Below are 24,150 nucleotides of genomic sequence, written 5' to 3' on the forward strand. Positions count from 1 at the left end.
CTAACACCAATTGTGGTTAACCTGCTTAAAATCCAGAACTTTGTGCAAGAGAAAGAGATTAGTGTTTAAGGAAAATGGTGCAAATATCAAACTGGATTGCCTTTTTCTGTGTAGCTCACTTGAGATGCACAATGAATGGGAGACATCTTGTTTGGGATGAACCCCAAAAGTTCCTCTCTGTTTTTTTTTCTATTGATCTATAGAAGTCTATGGATTTCACAATCAAAAAAGTGTATATTACTAAACAATGGGCCCCCAAATTTGATTGAGCAGATGTCAGTTATTAGACTAATGCTTCTGCCATATTCATTTTGCCTCTTCATTACCCCTCCTGTTCTTCTCTGGATCATTACAAACGTAGTAAGCTTATCCAGCACATCTCTCATCATTACCCCAGCACTATTTTTTTCTTTTTTACAGACTGTCCAGATACAGAAGAACCTCTCATGATAATTAAGGAAATTACAAACTTGTATTTTTTCAATATGGGTTTTCACATCTGTAGAAGTATAAGGCAGCACTATAATAAATTCAACATTCCCAGGGCATTGCTTCAGCAATTAACAAAAAAAGAATTCAATTTACCATCACATTCTTTGGAGCTGTGTGTATAAGAAAGAGACAGCTTCTCTGCTTCAAATGACATAGAATCTCTTATACAAAAGCACTGGGCATGTTGGAGTGAATAAAATGTTGGCTTTGGGGGAAGCAAGATAGAATTCAAAGGCTTAGTAATAATGAGTTTTAAAGCACATTTTCCCCATATAACTACAGTGTGAACCTCTCACTTAGAAAAAGATTGCAAAATTGCGCCTGTAGTGAATAAGCCCTGCAGACACATTTTTATTTTCAGAACAGAAATTACCCAGAAAACAAGATTTCACCATGCCTCCCTTTCCACCTCCCCTAGAACATTCATTGTCTATACCTTGGCCAAAATAAAACCAAATAAGTAATACAGCAAATTCCAACAAGTTCAATCTTATTGTGTCTTTTCCTTGTTTGACTGGTGTAAACTCTGCCAACTTCCTCTTAGTTTTTGTAAGATACTTTTTGACAGTCTTTTTGTATTTTCTTTCTTTCTTTCTTTTTTTCTTTTTTTTTTTTTTTTTTTTTTTTTTTTTGAGACAGAGTCTCATTCTGTTGCCCATGCTGGAGTGCAGCAGCACGATCTTGGCGCACTGCAACCTCCACCTCCTGAGTTCAAGTGATTCTCCTGCCTCAGCCTCCTAAGTAGCTGGGACTACAGGTGCCCACCACCACACCCAGCTAATTTTGTCTTTTTAGTAGAGGCAGGGTTTCACCATGTTGGCCAGGCTGGTCTTGAACACCTGACCTCAAATGATCCACCCTCCTTGGCCTCCTGAAGTGCTGGGATTACACACGTGAGCCATCGCTCCGGCCTTGTATTTTATTTCTATGACCACAGAAAGGTCAACATCATACCATTTCATTCTATGTTTATTTGTATTTGCTTTGTGTCCCAGTATGTAGCCAATTCTTGTAAATGTTTTATATCATGTTTGGAAGTTAAAATGTGAATTTCCTAACTATTGGGCATAGGTTCTATGCAGCTCATTAGATCAAGCCTATCAGTGTATTGATCATCTCTTCTAGTATTGTTTTTCTGCTTGAGTGATCAATTCTGGAAGCTGGTATTAAGATCTCTCACTATGATTAGCGATTTGTCAACTTCTCTGGAAAAGTACGCCAAATTTTGCTTTATCTATTATGATGATATGTTTTAGGAACACACGAGTTCAGGATTTTTACCTCTTTCTTGTGAAACTTTTCGCTTACCGTATTTAATAACTATTAATCCTTAATGATGTAACTCAAATCTCTTGTGTCTAATATTAATATAACTAGTAGCTTCCTTCAGTTATTCTTTCATCCTTTTTAATCTTTCCCTGTTTTTAATTTTAACCTTTTTGCTTCATTATTTTCTGGGTATCATAGCACATAGCTGAATTTGAACTGGTTTTGTTGTTGTTGTTGTTGTTTTGAGACAGAGTCTTGCTCTGTCACCCAGGCTAGAGGGCAGCGGCACCATCTCGGCTCACTGCAACCTCTGCCTCCTGGGTTCAAGCGATTCTCGTGCCTCAGCCTCACAAGTAGCTGGGATTACAGGCACACACCACCATGCCCAGCTAATTTTTGTATTTTTAGTGGATATGGGGTTTCACCATGTTGGCCAGGCTGGTCTTGAACTCCTGACCTCAAATGACTCACCCGCCTCAGCCTCCCAAAGTGCTGGGATTACAGGCATGAGCCACTGCATCTGGCCTGATTTTTGTCCAAGAGTTTCTAAATGAACTAGAAAATGGAATCTGTTTACTTTTATTATAATTACTGAACTAATTAGAGTTAGGTTTGCTATATTATTTTGTACTTCCTACTTAATGTTATTTTTCTTTTGCTTTACTTCTTTTTTCTCTCTTCCTACCTCCTAGCATTTTGAAGGAATTCTATTCTTATTTTTCCCCACGTTGTTTTTAAAATGCACCAAGATGAACGTTTTAAGAGCTCTCTTTTGAGAGGTGGCACTTCTATTCAACATTATACTAGAAGGGCTGACTATGCCAGTTAGGCAAGAAAAAGAAATAAAAGACATCCAGATTGGAATGGAATAAGTAAAACTATCAGCATTTGCAGATGGCATGATCTTGTACATAGAAAATCCAAATGAATCCATGAAAGAAACTATTAGAGCTAATAACAAGTTCTTCAAGGTTGCAGGATACAAGATCAACATACAAAAGCAATTGTACTCCTATACATTAGCAATGAACAAACCAAAATTGAAACTAAGAAAACAATTGCATTTACAATAGCATCAAAAAATAAAATATTTAAGAATAAATTTAATGAAAAAAGTGCAAGGCTTGTACACTACAAACTACAAAACATTAAAACAAATTAAAGAAAATCTAAATAAATGGAAAGCCATTCTATATTCGTGAATTATAAAACTTCATATTGTTAAGATGGCAATACCCTCCAAATTGACCTACATATTCAATACAATCTCTATAAAAATTCTAGCTGCTTTCTTTCTGAAATTGACAAGATAACCTAAAATTCACATAAAAATGCAAGGGCCCCAGAATACCCAAAACAATCTTGAAAAAGTATGTCAACCTAAAAAAAAAAAGACATCAGAGAAAAATGTCTCCAAATATGTTGAATTTGGAGGGGAATAGAAAAGAGGATTACAATCCGTAATACACTATGACAAGTCACAGGTGCACCCAGTGAGGGAAAAGGAGTAAGGGGAAGTTATTATTAGCAAAAAGAGAGACATTCACATAAACTTCTTGGACACAGAGTTCATTGGTTCTGGTAGCTCAAAGCCAGAGTTGGCATCAGTTCATTGGTGGAGGGCTTACTGAGCAAGCCTTCTTTCAAGAGCATATTATCAGAATTGTTACAGTCCTAAAGAATGTCTACTGATAAACCACGTGTCATAGAAATATGTGCACCCGGCCGGGCACGGTGGCTCACGCCTGTAATCCCAGCATTTTGGGAGGCCGAGATGGGCGGATCGCAAGGTCCGAAGATCGAGACCATCCTGGCTAACACAGTGAAACCCCATCTCTACTAAAAATACAAAAAATTAGCCAAGCGTAGTGGCAGGCGCCTGTAGTCCTAGCTACTCAGGAGGCTGAGACGGAGAATCGCTTGAACCTGCGAGGCGGAGGTTGCAGTGAGCCGAGATTGTGCCACTGCATTCCAGCCTGGGTGACAGAGCGAGACTCCATCTCACAAAAAGAAAAAGAAAAAGAAAAGGAAAAAAAAGAAATATGAGCACACATGCAAAACATACAAGCTGCACAAAGCAGATGTGTGAAGGACATGAAGGGATTTCTTCCAGGGTTTCTAGAAAGTCCTTGGAATAGTTCTTATTTCAGATATGTAAACATGAGCCCCTCTCCTTCACGCCTTCCCAGCACTGTATTGTCTGGATCTGACTAAAGTGATTTCATCCTCATATCTGCAACTTTCACAAGTAGAACAAAGTTGGGGAATTTACACTTCCTGATTTCAAAATTTACTACCAAGCTAGAGTAATTAAGACAATGTGGCACCCACATATGGATAAATACATAGATCAACGGAATAGGATGGACGGTCCAGAAATAACCCATACATCTATGGTCAATAGATTTCAGACATGACAATTCAAAGGATAAAGAAGAATCTTTTCAGCAGACGTGCTGGAACCATCATATAGTCCCACGCAAAAGAATGAACTTGGACCCTTACCACACCCCGTTAGCAAAAATTACCTTAAAATGGATGAAAGGCCTAAATATAAGAGCTAAAACTATAAAACTGTTACTCCCCCAACACATACAAAAAAGCATAAATCTTTATAGCTTTGGATTAGGGAATCGTTTCTTAAATATGACACCTAGAACACAAGCAGCTAGAGAAAAGATTCGGTAAATTGGACTTTGAAATTAAAAACGTTTGTGCTTCAAAGGACACTATTCCAGAAAGCGAAAAGACGACCCATGGAATGGGAAAAAATATTTGCAATCCATATATCTGAGGATACTTAGAATATATAAAGAACTCTCTCAACTTAATAAAAAGACAAATGCCCCAACTAAAGAATCAGCAAAGGATTTAAATAGACATTTCTCCAAATATTATATAATAATGGCCAATCAGATATGAAAAGATGCTCGACCTCATTAACCATTAGAGAAGTGCAAATGAAAACCATAAAAAGAGACCACCTCACACCCACTAGGATGACTGAAATTAAAAAGTTATTCACTGGTGTCGGTGAGGATGTGGAGAACCTGGAACCCTCACTCATTGCTAGTGGGAGTGTAAAATGGCACAGTCACTGTGGAAAGCAGTTTGGCAGTTTCTTGAAATGTGGAACATAAAGTTACTGCATGACCCAGCAGCACTTCCACTCCTGGGTATACACCCAACGGAACTGAAAACATGGCCACACAAAAACTTCCACATGAATGTTTCTATCAGCAGTATTCATAATAGCCAAAAAGTGTAAGGAATCAAACCAAATTTCCATCAACTGATGAACAGATTTAAAAAATGTGGTATATTCATACAGTGGAGAATTGTCATCCATATAAAGGAATGAAGTCCTGAAACATGCTGCAACATGGAGGTATCTTAAATATATATAATTAAAATAATATTATATATATAATATATATAAATTAATTATATAATATATATAAATTATATAATATATAAAAATTAATATATAATATATATAAATTATATAATATATAAATTAATTATATAATATATATAAATTATATAATATATAAATTAATTATATAATATATATAAATTATATAATACATATAAATTAATTATATAATATATAAATTATATAATATATACAAATTATATACTATATTAATTATATATTATATAATTAATTATATAATATATATAAATTATATATTATTAAATTAATTATATAATATATAAATTATATAATATATAAATTAATTATATAATATATAAATTATATAATATATAAATTAATTATATAATATATAAATTATATAATATATAAATTAATTGTATAATATATAAATTAATTATATAATATATAATATATAATTAATAAATAATTATATATTAATTATATAATTAATAAATAAATAATAAATATATATAATTAATATATAATATACATCATATATATCACATATAGATTATATAATAGTTATATATTATATAATAAATTATATATAATATATAATAAACATATATAACATATGTTATATATTACATAATATAGTATAATATATAACATATGTTATATATTACATAATATAGTATAATATATAACATGTTATATATTACATAATATAGTATAATATATAACATATGTTATATATTACATAATATAGTATAATATATAACATATGTTATATATTACATAATATAGTATAATATATAACATATGTTATATATTACATAATATAGTATAATATATAACATATGTTATATATTACATAATATAGTATAATATATAACATATGTTATATATTACATAATATAGTATAATATATAACATATGTTATATATTACATAATATAGTATAATATATAACATATGTTATATATTACATAATATAGTATAATATATAACATATGTTATATATTACATAATATAGTATAATATATAACATATGTTATATATTACATAATATAGTATAATATATAACATATGTTATATATTACATAATATAGTATAATATATAACATATGTTATATATTACATAATATAGTATAATATATAACATATGTTATATATTACATAATATAGTATAATATATAACATATGTTATATATTACATAATATAGTATAATATATAACATGTTATATATTACATAATATAGTATAATATATAACATATGCTATATATTACATAATATAGTATAATATATATGTTATATATTACATAATATAGTATAATATATAACATATGTTATATATTACATATTATAGTATAATATATATGTTATATATTATATAATATAGTATAATATATAATGTATGTTATATATTATATAATATAGTATAATATATAACATGTTATATATTATATAATATAGTATAATATATATGTTATATATTATATAATATAGTATAATATATAATATATGTTATATATTATATAATATAGTATAATATATATGTTATATATTATATAATATAGTATAATAAATATTATATTATATATAATTTATTTATATTAATATAACTTTTTTGAGATTTTTTGAGACAGAGTCTCACTCTGTCACCCAGGCTGGAGTGCAGTGGTCTTGGCTCACTGCAACCTCTGCTTCCCAGGTTCAAGCCATTCTCATGCCTCAGCCTTCTGAGTAGCTGGGATTACAGGTGTGTGCCACCACAACTGGCTAATTTTTTTTTTCTGCATTTTTAGTAGAGACAGGGTTTCACCATGTTGCCCAGGCTGGTCTCAAACTCCTGGCCTCAAGTGATCCACCTGCCTCAGCCTCCCAAAGTGCTGGGATTACAAGTGAGCTATGGCACCCAGCCTAGGAATGTTGAAAATATTATGTTAAGAGAAAGAAGCCAGATAAAAAAGTACATAGTGTATGATTCCATTTATACGAAGCATTCAAACTAGGCAATCCAAAAAGACAAGAAGTAGATTAATGGTTGCCAGAGGCTGCGGGGAGGTAAGAAGGGGAAATGGGAGGCAAGAAGGGGAAATGGGAGGGAAGAATGGGAAAACAGGAAAAAGGCTTCCTTGGGGATGATGGGAATGTGAAATTATGCAGTGGTGATGGCTGCCCAGCTTTGTGACTATACCAAAGCCACTGAATCGTGCACTGAAATGGGTGAATCTCAAGGCATGTATATTACAGCTCTCCCTGTTTAAGCAGCTCTTGCTGCCTCCCTCAGCTCCATGCCCACTTGCACAGGCTGGAAAGAGCCCTCCTCGTGCAGTGGAGCCCGGAGAAAGAAGAATGAGGGATGTCATGTGCTGCAAACTGCAGGCAAACAAGGACATATTCTCTCAACTCTGTCTCTCTGGGAGAGAAGATTAAAGCAAGGAAGGCAGCCCAAGCAGACAACAGGCACCAGAGGCAAACTCAGCAGGTGACAGATAAAGAGCCTCTGGAGTCTGGAGGGATGGGGTGATGGATCGAGGTAGCCAGCCTGGGAGAAACCCCAGCAGGCCTGAGCCCCTGCTGATGTACCTCACCGTGTGCAGTAAGTGGATTCCTAAAATGTAAAAAAAAAAAAAAAAAAAATCAATGCACTGATCAAATCCTGCTTAGAATGTGTTTAGAAGAGCCAACAACTGAAAAAGAATCCCACAGTGAAACAGATTGTATTATAAATCAGCATCACCCCATGGTTTTTCTGTTGGATGAAGCCAAATTTTTATTGTAGGATTTATGGTATACCCAGCTCCCCCTGGCTTAGCCATTTGAGTCAATTAGGAATTGTTCATTGCACTCTGTGTGCCAGGAACTGTGTTTACTCTTCACCCACTCAATATTCCTCACCCTTGGGGCATGCAAGGAGCTTTTGCACAGGCCCTGGCCTCCAGGAGCTCACTCCTGTACCTAAACTGCCACAAGGCCGGGAGGACAGGGCCAGTCACACTCTGGCTGTGGCAGCAGCTGGACACCTCCACATCTATGGAACCCATGACACCAGATGATCAGGAGCACAGACAGCAGGGGCCTCACACTTGCATCCTGGGACATGTGAGATGCAAATGTCCCCAAGACAACATGGCCTCCCGGGTCACCCCTGAGCTGCTCCCCCAGCTCGGTGCTCAGTGGAGCTGCACAGGGAATCCTGTGGAGGCATGCTTCTGCCCAAAGGGGGCCACATCACCAGCCCAGAAACGACTCTACCCATTAAAATGAGCAGAGTTTAAATCCCCTCTCTCCCATCACAAAACAGAGAGCAGAGAGCTGCAGCACTGGGGAACAGAAGGACTAAGTCCTTCCCAGGGTCAGAAACAACCCTGAAGCCTAAGCCATTGAGGAGGGCACCCTCATTTAAAATCAGCTGATAGAATTTCTGTGCTTAAATTAAACTGCAAGATGTACAAAAGGCACTGGATTCCCAGCAAGAGTGGATGAGCGAAGGAAGCGCAGAACCTGGGTGTCACAGGAGGAGGAAACATCCGGATCATTCTCTTTCGCCGCCTGCCTGTAGCCACAGTCTCACTGGCCCCTTAGTGAGAAGCGTCAGACGCGTGCCAGGCTCCTCCAGAGGGTCTGTGGGGTACGGTTAGGTGTCAGCTAGGGAGGCAGCAAAATGAACCGGACCCTGCTGCAGAGGACCAGTTAGCCACTCCCTAAGCTTTGGCCACCGTCCTCCCCCTTTCTGCTCACAGGCATGATCTGGAAAGCCTCTCTGCACATCACAGGTGGGTGGCCAATCCCTGTGCATCCCAGGTGTGCGACTTCTTATACAAAGTATTCCCCCAGGTCCACAGCATCAGCAGCCCAGGTTGGCGGGCGGGGGGCTCTCCTACCAGGGCTGGCAGGATGCCTCAGCACAAGGGACAGGAACCCTGGGAAAGTGGCCGTAGAACACCAGCAGCCTCTTGTCACACATCATGAAAGGTTCAGAGATGAGGGCGTTGGGGGTGGCTGGGTTCAGGGGGACCTTTCCACTCTGCTACCTTCAGCAGAGTCACCGAGCCCCTCACCTGTCACCTCGTGGTTCCAATGTGGCTTCTGCGCTTCTGGGCACCACTTGCAGATGTGACAATGTCCACTTAAAGAAGGGGGCATTTCCTCCAGTACAGCTCTTTGAATTAGGGAGGGAGCATTTCCTAAAAGGCCCCAGAGACTCCCCATCTGGTCCCACTGGGCGGAGGAGCTCCCATGCCCAGGCCCTAACTGTAACTGGGGGCTAAGGAGAGTGTCTAAAATGTTCACCTCTGTGACAGGATGTGGGTTCTCCTGGCCACAAAGAGAAGGGATGGGCAGTTGGGTGGCCAATCCCAGTATGTTCCAGATACGCCACTTCTTGCATAAGAGGTTCAGGAATAAACTCACCATGTGATTTCTGTTGAAAGATGGTCTCGTGCAGCAAAGATGGAACTTTCTCACTGAGATTCTACTAACCTCGTTTTTAAAAAGCTTTAAGTGTGAGCCATTTTCCAAACTGAGATGGATACATCGGAGCTGCGCCCAAGCAGATCTTCAGCATTGCATTTGCCACACTGTTGCATAACTGTATCTTTCTGCATCTCTCTTCCATGTTAGCTTGAGCTCCGCAAGGGCAGGGGTAGCGTCTTGACACTGAATTCCAACAGGTGAACTTGCGCCTGATACAGGCAGTTAATCCAGTCTTGGTTTTTGAGCACCATCTATTACCAGGCACTGTTCCAGGTAGTGCATAAAACAAATGACCTGCTTTCACAGAGCTTACCTTTTAGTGGATGGAGATAAATAGGACAGATAAACAGGTGTACATGCAAGTATATACATGCAGAATGTCAGCTGATGGGTGATAAGTGCTGCAAAGGAATAAAAGGCAGGATGAGGGGCTAGAGGTTGATGAAGAAAGCTGCTGTCTCAGCTGGATCACTGGGAAAAACTCTCAAGAGGTGACATTGTGCCAGCGACCTGAATGCAGTGAGGGAGCCATGTGGGCTTGTTGAAAAAGAGAATTCCAGGCAGAGGAACAGCAGGTGCAAAGGCACTATGGCAGAAGTCTGCCTGAAATGTTCAAAGGCAGCACGAAGGCCAGTGTGCCTGGAGAAGCATGAATGGGGGAGGCGGTGGGAAATAAGGCCAGAGGGGACGTCAGGGCCACAGTCAGAATGTAGGCTTTACTGATGAACATGGATGTCATTGTCCACTTTTGAGTGAAGGAGAAGCATAATTCAACCTGCATTTACTTTTTTATTTTTCTTTTTTTGAGACAGTCTCACTCTCTCCACCAGGCTGGAGTGCAGTGGCATGATCTCAGCTCACTGCAACCTCTGCTTCCCGGGTTCAAGCAATTCTCATGCCTCAGCCTCCTGAGTAGCTAGGATTACAGGTGTGTGCCACCACACCCAGCTAATTTCTGTATTCTTAGTAGAGACGAGGTTTCGCCATGTTGGCCAGCATGGTCTCGAACTCCTGACCTCAAGTGATCCACCCGCCTCGGCTTCCCAAAGTGCTGGGATTACAGGTATGAGCCACTGCATCCAGCCTCAACTTGCATTTTAAAATAAGCATTTCGGCTGGGCAGGGTGGCTCACGTCTGTAATCCCAGCACTTTGGGAGGCCAAGGTGGGTGGATCACCTGAGGTCAGGAATTCAAGACCAGATTAGCTAACATGGTGAAACTCTACCTCTACTAAAAATATAAAAATTAGCTGGGCATGGTGGCACATGCCTGTAGTCCCAGCTACACAGGGGGCTGAGGAAGGAGAATCGCTTGAACCCAGGAAGCGGAGGTTGCAGTGAGCCATGATCACGCCATTGCACTCCAGCCTGGGTGACAGAGAAAGACTCCATCTCAAAAAAAAATAAAATAAAATAACCATTTTGGCTTTACCTCCAGAATACTTTGGGAGTAAGCATGTGAGGAGACAGCCTGGGGGTGGGGGTGGGGGTGAGGGTGGAGGTGGGGGTGGGGGTGAGGGTGGGGGTGCTGCACCACTTCTGAGAAGCACCTCTCGTTGGGGTGGGGTGGCACCGTGGCTAACAAGCAGACCTGGAAGCCAGGCTCCCCGGGTCCCAGCCAGAGCTGTGACCTTGGACACGTTGCTTAGCCTTTTTGTGCCCCATCTGACTCACCATAAAGTGGGGATCATAACATTACCTTCCTCGGTGGTTCTCCAAGTGTGGCCTTGGCCAGCAGCATCGGCATCACCCGAGAACTTACTGGAAATACAAATCCTCAAGCCCCAGCACAGACCTGCCATTTCAGAAACCCGGGGGGTAGAGCTGCCAGACAAACTACAGGTCATCCGCTAAATTTGAATTTCAGACAGATGATTAATATTATCCACGCAATATTTGGGTCATGCTTATATTAAATGATAATTCATTATCTGAAATTCAAATTTAATCGGATGTCCTGAATGTTTGTTTGTTAAGTTTGGCAGCCCTGTCTGGGGGCACCCTGCAATCTGCATTTTAAAGGGTCCTCCAGGTGATGCTGGTGGCTGCATCACGTGGAGGTTTCAGAGCATGGACCCTCCTCGTGGGTGGTGCTGGAGGCCTCCGAGCTTAGCACAGTGCCTGGCTTGCGACCAGTGCTGGAAGTGGCCACCATTCCACCGAGCACTCACCGATGCCAGGGAACTGAGTGCCTTGGCGGAGGCCCACCGGGGGTGTGGTCTCTTCTCCAGGAAGGTTCTTATTCTGCATGGGTTGATTTTCAAAGTACACCAACTTGATTACCTGAAATCATCCTACTCCCTCCCTCTGATGGGCATAGGAAGCGAGTACCCATCCTCCCTGTGGCTCAGGAGTTTGAAATTTCTCTAATTGAGTAACCAAGAAGGAATGAAGTCTAAAATCTAGCTGACTCATGACACTGCAGAGAGAGTAGGTTTCTGCTTCTGGATTGCTCTGGTCAGTTTTGCTGAGCACTTGGACTGACGGGGCCTAAAGGAGTCACTCTTGTAAATGTTAACTCAGTGGTCAGAACAGAAGGCTGAGGTGTTTTTGTGAAGACAGCGAGGAAAACACACTTCCTGGCTTCCCTGGAAATAACAGACACGTATGTCCTAATTATTTATTAAATGAATGAATAATTTGTGTTCATCCTATCATCACCCAACCCATTGGTGTCAAAGAATGATGCCAACCTGTTATATCAATAGAGTTAGAAATTTTATGTGAAATCATCATCCTGAGTAACTGTCAGGAATATCTGAAAAATACTAATTATCATGTTAGATTGGCCCTGGGAGATAAACACGGAACTTAAGAATCTAGTAATGTACAGAGCTCACCCCAGCCTCACTCACAAACAAATACCTTCTCAAGATGCCACCGTGTCCTCAGAACTCGATGTGTTCACACACGTGGCTTGTTCCCTAGCAGCAACTTCACATTCAAGCAGAATTCAAGCAGAGGCCTGAAATTAAAACGTCTCCATTTTTCTTTAACCAAATGGTAGTTCTAATTATAGCATTCAGACTGGCGTGCATGTTTATTTGCTCATCTCTCGCTTTATTAAGAGTTAGTGCATTGTACCTTAAAAATGGGTGACAAATTATTACAATGTGTTCTGGGCTGTCGATGATTAGAACAGGTGGTTAAGGAGGCTTGGGGTGTTATCCATTTCTATAATTATGTCATCGTGTTACATTTAATGTTCGTGACCAGGACGCAGGGAATGCAACCTTCAGTCTCAATCCCATCGGAAAAGGAAGCAGTCTCTTCCATGGAAGCACGTGGCCTCCTGAAAACCCTGAAGGGCAGGTGCTGGGAGCCCCCAGTTCTGGTCCTCGTGCTGCCCTAACTGGCTGGTGACCCCAGAGAAGCCATTGCAAACCTGGCCAACTCCTCTTTCGTGAGCCTTTATCTGTCTTCCTAATTTAGCAAATAACAGTGCTCAATAAATATAGTGTCAAATATAGTGTGTCAATATAAAGTGTGTCAAATAAAGTGTGTCAATAAACAAAGTAATTGATGAAAATCACTCAGTCCCACTTCTGAATTTTCCTTTGTTTGTTTGTTTGTTTGTTTGTTTTTTCTGAGACCTGGTTTCTTTCTGTTCCCTGGGCTGGAGTGCAGTGGCACAATCTTGGCTCATTGCAGCCTCTGCCTCCCAGGTCCAAGTGATTCTCGTGCCTCAGCCTCCCGAGTAGCTGGGATTACAGGTGCACACCATCACACTCGATTAATTTTTGTATTTTTAGTAGAGACAGGATCTTGCCATGTTGGCCAGGCTGGTCTTGAACTCCTGACCTCAAGTGATCCACCTGCCTTGGCCTCCCAAAGTGTTGTGACTATAGGTGTGAGCCACTGTGCCCAGCCAGAGACTCTTGTTTTTTGTTTTTTGTTTTTTTTTTGGCTTTGTTTTGTTTTGTTTTGTTTTGTTTTTTTAAAAAGAAAGAAAAGAAAAAGAAAGAAAGAAAAGAGGCCAGTAGCCTGGTCAGAATTTTCTTTTCTGACAGCATGCCTCCTATTAGGTGGCCTCACAGGGATAATATCCCTGTTACAGAAGCACAGAATTCAAATCCTGCACCCCTTGTGTAAGGCACGGCTGCATGAACTAAAGAAAATTACTACATCTCCCAGAGCCTCAGTTTGCCTACTTGTCAAATGGGATACAATAACATTTACTGGCCATGGCTGCTGGGAAAATTAAGTGAGGTGACGCATGCAGAGCACACGGTGGCAGTAGGTGCTCAACAGATGATGGTCCTCAGGATTCAGCTGGTGCCCTTCCCATTCTTCACCTAGTCAATGGTTGTTGAGTTCACTCAAAGCCATCAGACATCCACAGTCCGTCTGGCCTGGCCTTTCCTGCTATGTCATGGCACACAGAGAGCCCATTGTCACTGTCACACCCAACTGTCCTTGTTTCTTTGTCACAATGTCCATCATCCCCTGGCTAGTGCTTGGGCAGAAATGGTGGCTCTCTTGCCAGCCTAGTGCCCCTGGCACTGACATGGCAGCTGACGTTCCGTCCCCCAAGTCGCATCCCCCCATCAGCTCAGTGGCACACTTCTCCCCAGTAGGGCTTCAAGGAAGAATCTGGAAAGGCTCTTGTCTGAAACTCAGGAGAAATTCTCTTGGCGCTGGAAAAGCCCAGTGCTGCTCAAAATCATGCGCCTTTCCTTTCCTGGGGAGGAGCACCCACTTCTGCAGAAAGTCCTGGAGCCGCAGGGTCCTCAAAGGACCTCTTCTTGCAAGAGCCAGTTCACGCTCCAGCCTTGGCACATCAAGGGCTGCTGCCTGTGCCGCCTGGCTCTACCCCACTCTTCCTCACCACCTGCCTGGCGGGAAGGCTCCGTCCTCCCATTTGTCTTCCTGGTGGCTGAGATTTTCTCCACTCCACATCTTTCTCCTTCCAGGAGCAGGATCTTCCCTAACCCTGCCTCCAAGTCCAGATGGCAGTCAGGGATCAGGATTTAAGGAACAATTAACACCCAGTGTGATGATTTCAGATCCTGCTCCCATGACCTCCACATCCCCTAAACTGTATGGCTGCATGATCTAAACAAAATCACTAAATTTCCCAGAGCCTCGGTTTGCCTACCTGTTCAATGGGATGCAATAACATTTATTGCCCATAGCTGGTTGGGAAAACTTAGTGAGGTGATGCGTGTAAAGCACATGGTGGCAGGGGGGGGTGTCTCTGTTTCTCCTTGTTTGCTGCTGCCCTGTGGGGAGAGCAGCCCCTGCACTGAGGAACAGAGTGACCTCAAGGCCCGCAGGCCCTGGGCCTGACAACCCCACCCTCTAGAAATACAGGTGGGCATGGGAACCAAAGCAGAACAGCCGGTCAGCCATTTGCTTTCCTCTTAATGCATTAACTTCAGACACACGCAGGGTTCTCCCAAAGCCTGCCTTCTATTGGTCGTGACTTCAGTGTGCTACAACCAGTGACACTGCACACTGTGAAGAGCATTTCTGGATTGACTCCTGAACTTGACCTCTATTTGAGAGTGCCAAGTTTTACAACCAAATCATCTAGTGTATTGCAGTCATCTAAATAACAGCAGCAGGTGAAATCAGTATCATTCGGGGACTCACAGGAAAGTCTGGAGCAGTGTTTCTCAAAGAGTGTTTCCCACATCTCCGATGAGGTCCAGAGAGGCCTTACTGGGCTGTCTGGAGTTTTCTAGGAGAATGTGTAAGTCTGTGTTTTCATTTGGTGCCAGCCTGTGCTGGGGGTACAGTAACAGAAAGGACAGCAGGGCCCTGTCCTCAGGAAGCTTCCAGTCTAGGGGATGTGGAGGTCATGGGAGCAGGATCTGAAATCGTCACACTGGGTGTTAATGGTTCCCTAAACCTGATCCCTGACTGTCATCTGGGCCTCAAGGCAGGGTTGGGGAAGATCCTGCTCCTGAAAGGAGAAAGATGTGGAGTGGAGAATATCTCAGCCACCTGGGGGAAACAGGACTTCGGAGCCTTCCCGCCAGGTGGTGCTGAGGAAGTGTGGGGTAGAGGCAGGTGGCACAGGCAGCAACCTTTGGTGTCCCCTCTCCCCCTGAGCCCACGCTCTCCAAGCCAGGAGGGTCATAAAGCAGCATGGGGAGAGGTCAAAGCAGGGCCCTGCCTCGACCTGATTCCCATGGGGACTCCAAGAACACCCGGCCTGCGGGCCCCACCCCAGTGGCTCTGGGACTCCCAACTTCCACCCAGGCCAGGGCAGCTGGGTAAATACAGAGACTCAAAAAGAGCCCAAGGTGACACTCAGGGTCTGCCCAGCTCCATGTGTTATGGCAGGAACCCCTAGGTACCTATTAGCTGAGGCATGGGGACCTGTCAGAGAAAGTCATTTTCATGGGGGTAAAGGGACTCTGAAGCCAAGGGCGCAATCAGTCAATGGGACTGTTTGAGCCAAGAATCAAATGGAAGTTCCAACCAGACGTCAGGGCACCTCCAGAGCAGCCAGGACATCATCAGCCAGGGTGGAGGGCTGAGCTCCCCAGACCACAGATGATAGCAGCCACAGGCTTCTGCAACAGCCCACCAGGCTGCCCAGGGGCAGGACAAGACAGACCCACCACCTAAGCCTCCAGCAGCCAGGGCCCACCCAAGGGCAGAACAGCCACCTGCCTAGAGACCAGGTGCTCTCCTTCCCCCACCACATGTACCACCCCCACTCAGAGAGGATCAGGGGCTGAGGGGAAGAAGGGAGGTCTGCAGTGCTGACCACGTGTCCGTCAAGAGACTGTGGCATCCCCAAGAGACAATGCTAGCCAGTAGAAACAAAGGGGCTGCATTCTCTTTGCACCTTGGGTGCAGTGTGCTCATGTGGGCTTTAAGAATTCATGTAATTAGCACCACAGGCTAATGATAACCCCTCCCTAGATTAAAAGACAGTCCCATCATCTCCAGCATCTGGCCCCTTGGAGAAGAGTTTGCAGAAGGAAGAAAAGAAGACCAGAGAACATTCTCTATAAGGCCCTTTGCAGAGAAGAAAGCTCAGCTCCTGCCTTGGAAGCAAAGCTGTAGGAAAGCTCTTTCCCATCTTGCAAGATGGCAGGTGAAAAAGTTGAGAAGCCGGATACTAAAGAGAAGAAACCTGAAGCAAAGAAGGCTGATGCTGGTGGCAAGGTGAAAAGGCATCACCTCAAGACTGAAAAACTCAAGAAGGGGAAGCCCCATTGCAGCCTCAATCCCGTCCTTGTCAGAGGAGTTGGCAGGTATTCCCAACCTGCCATGTATTCCAGAAAGGCCACGTGGAAGAGGAAGTACTTAGCTGCGAAGTCCAAGGTTGAAAAGAAAAAGGAGAAGGTTCTTGCAACTGTTACAAACCAGTTGGTGGTGACAAGAACGGTGGTCCTGGGTGGTTAACAAAATGCCTAGATATTACCCTACCGGAGATGCGCCTCGAAAGCTGTTGAGCCACGGCAAAAAAACTTTCAGTCAGCACGTGAGAAAACTGTGAGCCAGCATTACCCCCGAAGCCATTCTAATCATCTTCACTGGATGCCACAGAGGCAAGAGGGTGGTTTTCTTGAAGCAGCTGGCTAGCGGCTTGGTATTTAGGACTGGACCTCTGGTCCTCAATCGAGTTCCTCTATGAAGAACACACCAGACATTTGTCATTGCCACCTCAACCAAAACTGACATCAGCAATGTAAAAATCCCAAAACATCTCACTGATGCTTGCTTCAAGAAGCAGCAGCTGCGGAAGCCCAGACACCAGGAAGGTGAGATCTTCGACACAGAAAAAGAGAAATACGAGATCACAGGGCAGCGCAAGATTGATCAGAAAGCTGTGGACTCACAGATTTTACCAAAAATCAAAGTTATTCCTTAGCTCCAGGGCTACCTGAGATCTGTGTTTGTTCTGAGGAATGGAATTTATCCTCACAAATTGGTGTTCTAAATTTCTTAAGAACCTAATTAAATAACTGATAACATTTAAAAAATAATAAAGCTGTGGGGACAGAGGCCTGGGCCGTGTCTGTGAACAGCATGCCGGAGTGGACATGGGCCAGGAGGAGGCACAGTGAGCCGTGGGGACACCCCGTGCTGTTCACAGGGCTGGGCACCCAGAGCACGGAGCAGAGCGGCTTTCTTCTTCCCCAGGCTGCTGAGCCTATGCTGAGTGTGTGTGGAGGGCGCAGAGGGCCGTTTGTTGGGGCTGGGAGCTAGCCCACTCTGCCGTCTCAGAGCAGATACAGCCATCAATTACCCCAGCATGTGCAAGAAGGATGCCATTGTCCACACGCTGGGGCTGGGTTTGGAGCGCACTTGGAGACGGAGATCTGGGTGCAAGTGGATTATGGGGGTGCCCTGGAGACCAGCCCCCGCCAGGGGTGAGGGCAGTGGGAATGAGCAGTAAAGGCCTCAGCCAGGCTCACAGGCAGCTCTGAGTCTGCGCGGCTGCACAGCAGCCTGAATCAGGCAGGTGGCCCTGACGTTACCTGGCATAGCAATCAGCCACTAAAGCAGGTGGCACGGGAGGAGCATGAGCTTACGCCAGGCAGCCCCCTCCAGGTGAGTCCTGGGAGGCGATGCCTGTGCCTCTGTCTTGGAGGGGGAGTTTGGGGCGCCCCCCCACCACAGCATTCACACGCACCATGCTGGGCTTCCCGGCCAGGCCCCAGGCTTGCCCGCAGAGGTGAGCCCGGCTGGGGTGGGGCCTTACACCTGGTGCCTGTGTCAGCCTCCCCTGGATGGGATTTGGAGTTTCAGTGGATACCAACACCCATGGAGGGCCCACGATGACCTGCTTTCCAATTAAGTGAACACCTCAAAGTCCCTTCCGGCGTAAACAATCTCTGATTCCTTGATTTAATCCTCCACAGTTAAAGGAACCTCTGCACTAATGGGCTTGAGTGACGTCTTTTTGCACAGTAATACGTGGTCGTATAACCCCCACAACGTGTCTCTAAATCCATGTAACAGTCACTGCTCTCAATAGTGATCACAGTTGTGCAGAATTGAGATCTGAATGCTGGTTGTGGTTGTGCAGAGCTGACATCTGAATGCTGGTTGTGGTTGTGCAGAGCTGACATCTGAACGCTGGTTTTGGTTGTGCAGACCTGAGATCTGAATGCTGGTTTCGGCTGTGCAGAGATGAGATCTGAATGCTGGTTTCGGCTGTGCAGAGATGATATCTGAATGCTGGTTTCGGCTGTGCAGACCTGAGACCTGAATGCTGGTTTCGGCTGTGCAGAGATGAGATCTGAATGCTAGTTTCAGCTGTGCAGAGATGAGATCTGAATGCTGGTTTCGGCTGTGCAGACCTGAGATCTGAATGCTGGTTTCGGCTGTGCAGAGCTGAGATCTGAATGCTGATTTCAGCTGTGCAGACCTGAGATCTGAATGCTGGTTTCTACAGTGGATTTGTCACATTCACACGTAGCGGGGCTTGGGACTTGAATGTATCTTTTTGGAGGGACACAATTCAACCCATAACACGCCCCTCCTGGGCACCTGCACCTGGTGGCGGCCCACACTGTGGATAAAGGCCTGGCCCCAGGCTCCACTCGGGACAACCCTGAAGGGGTGTGCCAGCTCCAGAGCTTCCCCAGGGACCAGCGGTTAGGGCATCACTGCCCGACGACTCCCTCTACCCCACTGGCTTTCCTTCTCTCCCTTCACAGACCCTAAACCCAAGAGCACTGCCCCGCCACCAATAAACACTCTTCTGTCTCTGAGTGAGCTTCCCCGGGGACCCAACCTGCATCAGGGACTCACCTATGTGGGGACATGGCCCATGCTGACGCGTGGCCTGGGGGACATGCCCCATGCTGAAGCATGGGTTGGGGGACACGGGGCCCATGCTGACGCGTGGGTTGGGGGACATGGCCCATGCCGACGCATGGCCTGGGGGACATGCCCCATGCTGAAGCGTGGGTTGGGGGACACAGGCCCATGCTGACACGTGGGTTGGGGGACACAGGCCCATGCCGACGTGTGGCCTGGGGGACACAGGCCCATGCTGATGTGTGGCTGTGAAACTAACACATCACCCAAGGCCTCCAGGTGAGGGTCCCCTCATAGCCACGCTGTGACAGGACGAGGTTGTTCCAGAACGTTTCAGAGGCTACCCCTAGGCAGCCATCTCCAGACTCCATTGATGAGCAGCCTTGGGAACCTCCCCCCACCCCACTGTGCCCCACCCGCGTCTGATGATCCTCCCGGTCTGTAAACCTTGGCCCGGCCGACTTTAAGCAATTGTCAGTTATGTACTCACTTCTGCCTCCAAGACGTCAGTCAGCCTCTACTGTACACGGCTCACACTGGGCGCCAAGGACGTGTAGCTCACGGTCATGGCCCTGACCTCGAGTGGCTCAGACTCGGTGGGAATGAAGACAAACACACAGCTTTCCATGACACAGAGTGACGGGTGTGGGAGAGGCAGCCGCCGGCTGCCGTGGGAATCCAGAGAAATGAGACTCAATCCAGACCCGGTCCACGCAGGTGCCTCAGAGACAGTGAGGGGGATGGTGGTCCTGGGAGGGGCACACTGTGGCTGCTCCTGCACAGCCAGGGAGCTACAGGGGTTTCCACGTGGCCAGGCGCAGCAGGGAGGCAGGCACCTGATTGTGAAATGAACAACTATTGAGCTCCATAGGTTACTAAACTAGTTGGAGGCAGCTATCCCCAGTACTACTCGGGCCACAATACAATGCCTGATACTTTTGGTGGCTGTGGATCTGTACCGTGTTTAGCACACGGCCTGGGAGTTAGGACCCTCCCTCTCCCCTTTTCTGGTCTGGAGGTTTCACCTGAACCCTATTCATTCCACATGGGGGGCTGATTTTTTTGATCAGATCAGTCCTGGGTCTTCACCAGCTCATCTGACTGGTCTGCCAAAGTTACTTCAACTTTAATTTATGAATTCTGTGACCATATTCCTCACATCACAGGATTTCCAATCTTCAGATAAGAGAGGGAGGGTAAAAACCTTTGGGTCAATTTAGTTAGGTTTACACTTTGAGAACTAGAAAATTTCTAACCAGGGAAAGTGAAAGAACGTGAGAGCCTCGGCACAGGTCAAATGCAAAAACACCTAAGAAATCAAGACAACTGAAAAGAGAGGCTGGGCGTGGTGGCTCACACCTGTAATCCCAGCACTTTGGGAGGCCGAGGAGGGCAGATCACTTGAGGTCAGGAGTTTGAGACCAGCCTGGCCAACATGGTGAAACCCTGTCTCTACTAAAAATACAAAAATTAGCCAGGTGTGGTGGGCCCCTGTAATTTCAGCTACTCGAGAGGCTGAGGCATGAGAATTGCTTGAACCTGGGAGGTAGAGGTTGCAGTGAGCCAAGATCGCACCACTGCACTCCAGCCTGGGGGACAGAGTGAGACTCTGTTTTAAAAAAAAAGAAAGAAAAGAGGCCAGTAGTCTGAAGACAGGAAATGCCAGCTCAGTTTTCAAAAACAGAGGAAAGGTGAATTCTAAAAACCAACTAGGCCTGGTGCAGTGGCTCATGCCCATAGTCTCAGCACTTTGTGAGGCTGAGGCAGGAGGATTGCTTGAGTCCAGGAGTTTGAGACCAGCCTGGACAACATAGTGAGACTCCCCCCGCCCTCCATCTCTACAAAAAATTAAAACATAATAGTAATTACCCAGGCGTGATGATGCACATATGCAGTTGTAGCTACCCAGGAGGCTGAGGTGGGAGGATCACTTGAGCCCAGGAGGTCAAGGCAGCAGTGAGCTATGATTGAGATGGGGTGACAGAGTGAGACCCCATCTCAAAAAAATAAATAAATGAAAAATAGAAACAAACCAGCAAGCCTGACCAATTTTGAGCAAAATTCCAGTATGCAGTAATTTTTTTTTTTTTTGAGATGAAGTCTCACTCTGTCACCCAGACTGGAGTGCAGTGGCACAATCTCTGCTCACTGCAACCTCCGCTTCCTGGGTTCAAGCGATTCTCCTGCCTCAGCCTTCCAAGTGGCTGGGACTACAGGCATACACCACTGCGCCCAGCTAATTTTTGTATTTTTAGAGACGGGGTTTTACCATGTTGGTCAGGCTGGTCTCAAATCCCTGAACAAGTGATCCACCCGCCTTGGCCTCCCAAAGTGCTGGGATTACAGGCCTGAGCCACCGCACCTGGCCTTAAGTAATTTTGAAATGATTAAGGAGGTGGGGAAGAAAACTAATTGCTGGGAACCAGCACGTGGTCACTGAGGACCGATCGCCTTTCACTTTGACGAGGTCGTTAGATCAACAGCCCTGGAAAATGTTATGGGCTCCATGTTCTCGTCTTTATTGTAGAAAAAAAAATGTACATCTTTCCACAACTCTTTGTAAAAACAGAAGAAAAAGAAGGAGGAGGAGAAAGGGGGGGAGGAGCCTAGAGCTAGGCAATGTCAGATGGTAACAGAAGGCTTCAGTGTAAGGCTGAGGTCCCCTGAAGTCTCCACACCACACTCCCCAGCCTCAATCCCCCAGGTGTCTACAGGTCCATGAAGGTGCTGCTGGGGTCTGCCAGCTAAACACGGCATCTCAAAAGGCCTAATGGAAAGCGTACTCTTACCCACAGGCTAGCTAACATGTCATTTCGGCACGGTGTAATTGAAGGGGACTGGGCTCTTGTTCTGTCCAAGATGCATGGGCTTGAGTCAGTTATAAAACCTCTCTGGGCATTTTTATTTCCAGCAAGAGGAAAATCTACAAAATCTGAAAATCCTGTGGCCAGAAAACACCTAGAAATCCTGGAAAATTTATCCCGAATATCCTGTTAAATACATGGCGGGGCACACATCAGTAAGAGAGCCCCAGTGGACAGAAGCAAAGAAGAAGCTGCGGATTCAGCTGCTGCCCTTGGGGATATTTGCCAAGCTCAGGAACAGAGAGCCTCGGTTTCCACAGCCATCCGGGCACTGGACACCAAACCCGGGGCCTGCACGAGGCAGGGACTTGGAAGTGAGACTCCCTGGAAATGCAGGACCCTTGGAGGCCATACCCTCAGTGATAGAATGAGGTAAAACAGAAATTAATAAAAAGAAATGACAAGGAAACATGTGTCTCAACTCCTGGGCTCTGAGTGGGATAGAGCATCCCCTGAGAATCCATACCTGGCCTCATTGGGTTTGGGTTTGAATTGATACCATTTGGTCTGGGAAACCAAAGTCAAGAAATTAGCTAAGAGTGGTCTTAGGTTGATAGTCCCCCAGATGCTTGACAGAAACAAATGTAAAATCTCTCTGGAGAAACACGTCCTCAAACCAAGGTGTGTAGGATTTCCAAGATAAAGCCCAGCTGTGTACTATAAAATTAACCTTTATTGGCCAGGCGCGGTAGCTCACACCTGTAATCCCAGCACTTTGGGGAGCTGAGGCAGACAGATCACTTGAGGTCAGGAGTTCGAGACCAGCCTAGCCAACATGGTAAAACCCTGCCTCTACTAAAAATATAAAAATTAGCCGGGCGTGGTGCCACATGTGTCTGTAGCCACAGCTACTCAGGAGGCTAAGGCAGGAGAATCACTTGAATCTGAGAGACAGAGGTTGCAGTGAGCCAAGATTGCGCCACTGAACTCCAGCCTGGGCAACAGACCGAAACTCTGTCTCAATTAAAAAAAAAAAAAAAAAAAGATTAACCTTTATTGAAGACTTAACTCGTGCCAGGCACAGTTTTAAATCTTTGACCTGGGCCAGACACAGTGGCTCACACCTGTAATTTCAGCACTTTGGGAGGCTGAGGAGGACAGATCACCTGAGGTCAGGAGTTCAAGAGCAGCCTGGCCAACATGGTGAAACCCCATCTCTACTAAAAATACAAAAATTAGCCAGGTGTGGTGGCAGGTGCCTGGAATCCCAGCTACTTGGGAGGCTGAGGCAGGAGAATCACTTGAACCTGGAAGGTAGAGGTTGCAGTGAGCCAAGATGGTGCCATCGCACTCCAGCCTGGGCAACAGAGCAAAACTCTGTCTCAAAAAAAATAAAAATAAAATAAATAAATCTTTGACCTGTATTGTCCCACCTAATCTTCACACATTCTTCTAATGGTAGGTAGTTTTATTCTCATTATTATTTATTAATGTCATTCATATTCCTGGATTAGGAATTGGAGAGAATGAAGGCACAGAGAGGATAAGTAACTTACTCAAGAACACACAGCAAAGAAGAAGAGTTGAGATTCAAACCCAGGAAGTCTGGCCCACAGTCCGCAGAGGAACCCGTCATGAGCACAAGTTACCTGGAATCAGTCATAGGGCTTCCAGGCAATGGAATCTTGAGGTACAGAATACAAATAAGAATGCTTAAAATGTTTAAAGACATTCTCAAAAATGCAGACAAGATACAGAAGAAAAAGACAAAGTAAATAAGAGAGGAGAAAACAATTAAAATGTTTAGAAATAAAAAATGTAAGTTGGGCACAGTGGCACGTGCCTTAGTCCCAGCTACTTAGGAGGCTGAGGCGGGAGCATTGCTTGAGCCCAGAAGTTTGAGGCTGGAGTGTTCTATAATGGCACCTGTGAATAGCCACTGCACTCCACCCTGGGTGACATAGTGAGACCCTGTCTCTAAAGAAAAAATA

The 24,150-nt window shown here is 44.6% G+C and overlaps 1 long non-coding RNA gene and 1 pseudogene across 1 annotated transcript in view, besides 4 other annotated features; one reads left to right on the forward strand and one right to left on the reverse strand.

Moving 5' to 3' along the window:
- Window positions 1–14,379: 14,379 nt before the first annotated feature.
- Window positions 14,380–24,150, reverse strand: part of FLJ33534 (Putative uncharacterized protein) — a 32,326-nt gene continuing 22,555 nt past the window's right edge. The window contains exons 7-9 of the long non-coding RNA NR_040080.1: window positions 21,225–21,316; window positions 19,846–20,191; window positions 14,380–14,592 (exon numbers count right to left, since the gene is read on the reverse strand). This is a non-coding gene — a long non-coding RNA (Putative uncharacterized protein FLJ33534). The remainder of the gene's footprint in view (window positions 14,593–19,845; window positions 20,192–21,224; window positions 21,317–24,150) is intronic.
- On the forward strand, window positions 16,652–17,561 carry RPL6P4 (ribosomal protein L6 pseudogene 4; annotated as a pseudogene).
- Window positions 18,238–18,317: an enhancer, noted in NCBI's record as "active region_15315". NCBI's record gives its function as "activates an Ori minimal core promoter by ATAC-STARR-seq in GM12878 lymphoblastoid cells {active_cell/tissue: GM12878}" and the evidence as "EXISTENCE:reporter gene assay evidence [ECO:0000049][PMID:35858748]".
- Window positions 18,328–18,497: an enhancer, noted in NCBI's record as "active region_15316". NCBI's record gives its function as "activates an Ori minimal core promoter by ATAC-STARR-seq in GM12878 lymphoblastoid cells {active_cell/tissue: GM12878}" and the evidence as "EXISTENCE:reporter gene assay evidence [ECO:0000049][PMID:35858748]".
- Window positions 18,518–18,667: an enhancer, noted in NCBI's record as "active region_15317". NCBI's record gives its function as "activates an Ori minimal core promoter by ATAC-STARR-seq in GM12878 lymphoblastoid cells {active_cell/tissue: GM12878}" and the evidence as "EXISTENCE:reporter gene assay evidence [ECO:0000049][PMID:35858748]".
- Window positions 19,476–19,975: an enhancer, noted in NCBI's record as "H3K4me1 hESC enhancer chr2:11245073-11245572 (GRCh37/hg19 assembly coordinates)". NCBI's record gives its function as "activates a minimal SCP1, AML or CMV promoter by ChIP-STARR-seq in naive H9 embryonic stem cells {active_cell/tissue: H9 hESC(naive)}" and the evidence as "EXISTENCE:reporter gene assay evidence [ECO:0000049][PMID:30033119]".

Source organism: Homo sapiens, chromosome 2 (genome assembly GCF_000001405.40).
Source record: "Homo sapiens chromosome 2, GRCh38.p14 Primary Assembly".
NCBI classification, from domain to species: Eukaryota; Metazoa; Chordata; class Mammalia; order Primates; family Hominidae; genus Homo; species Homo sapiens.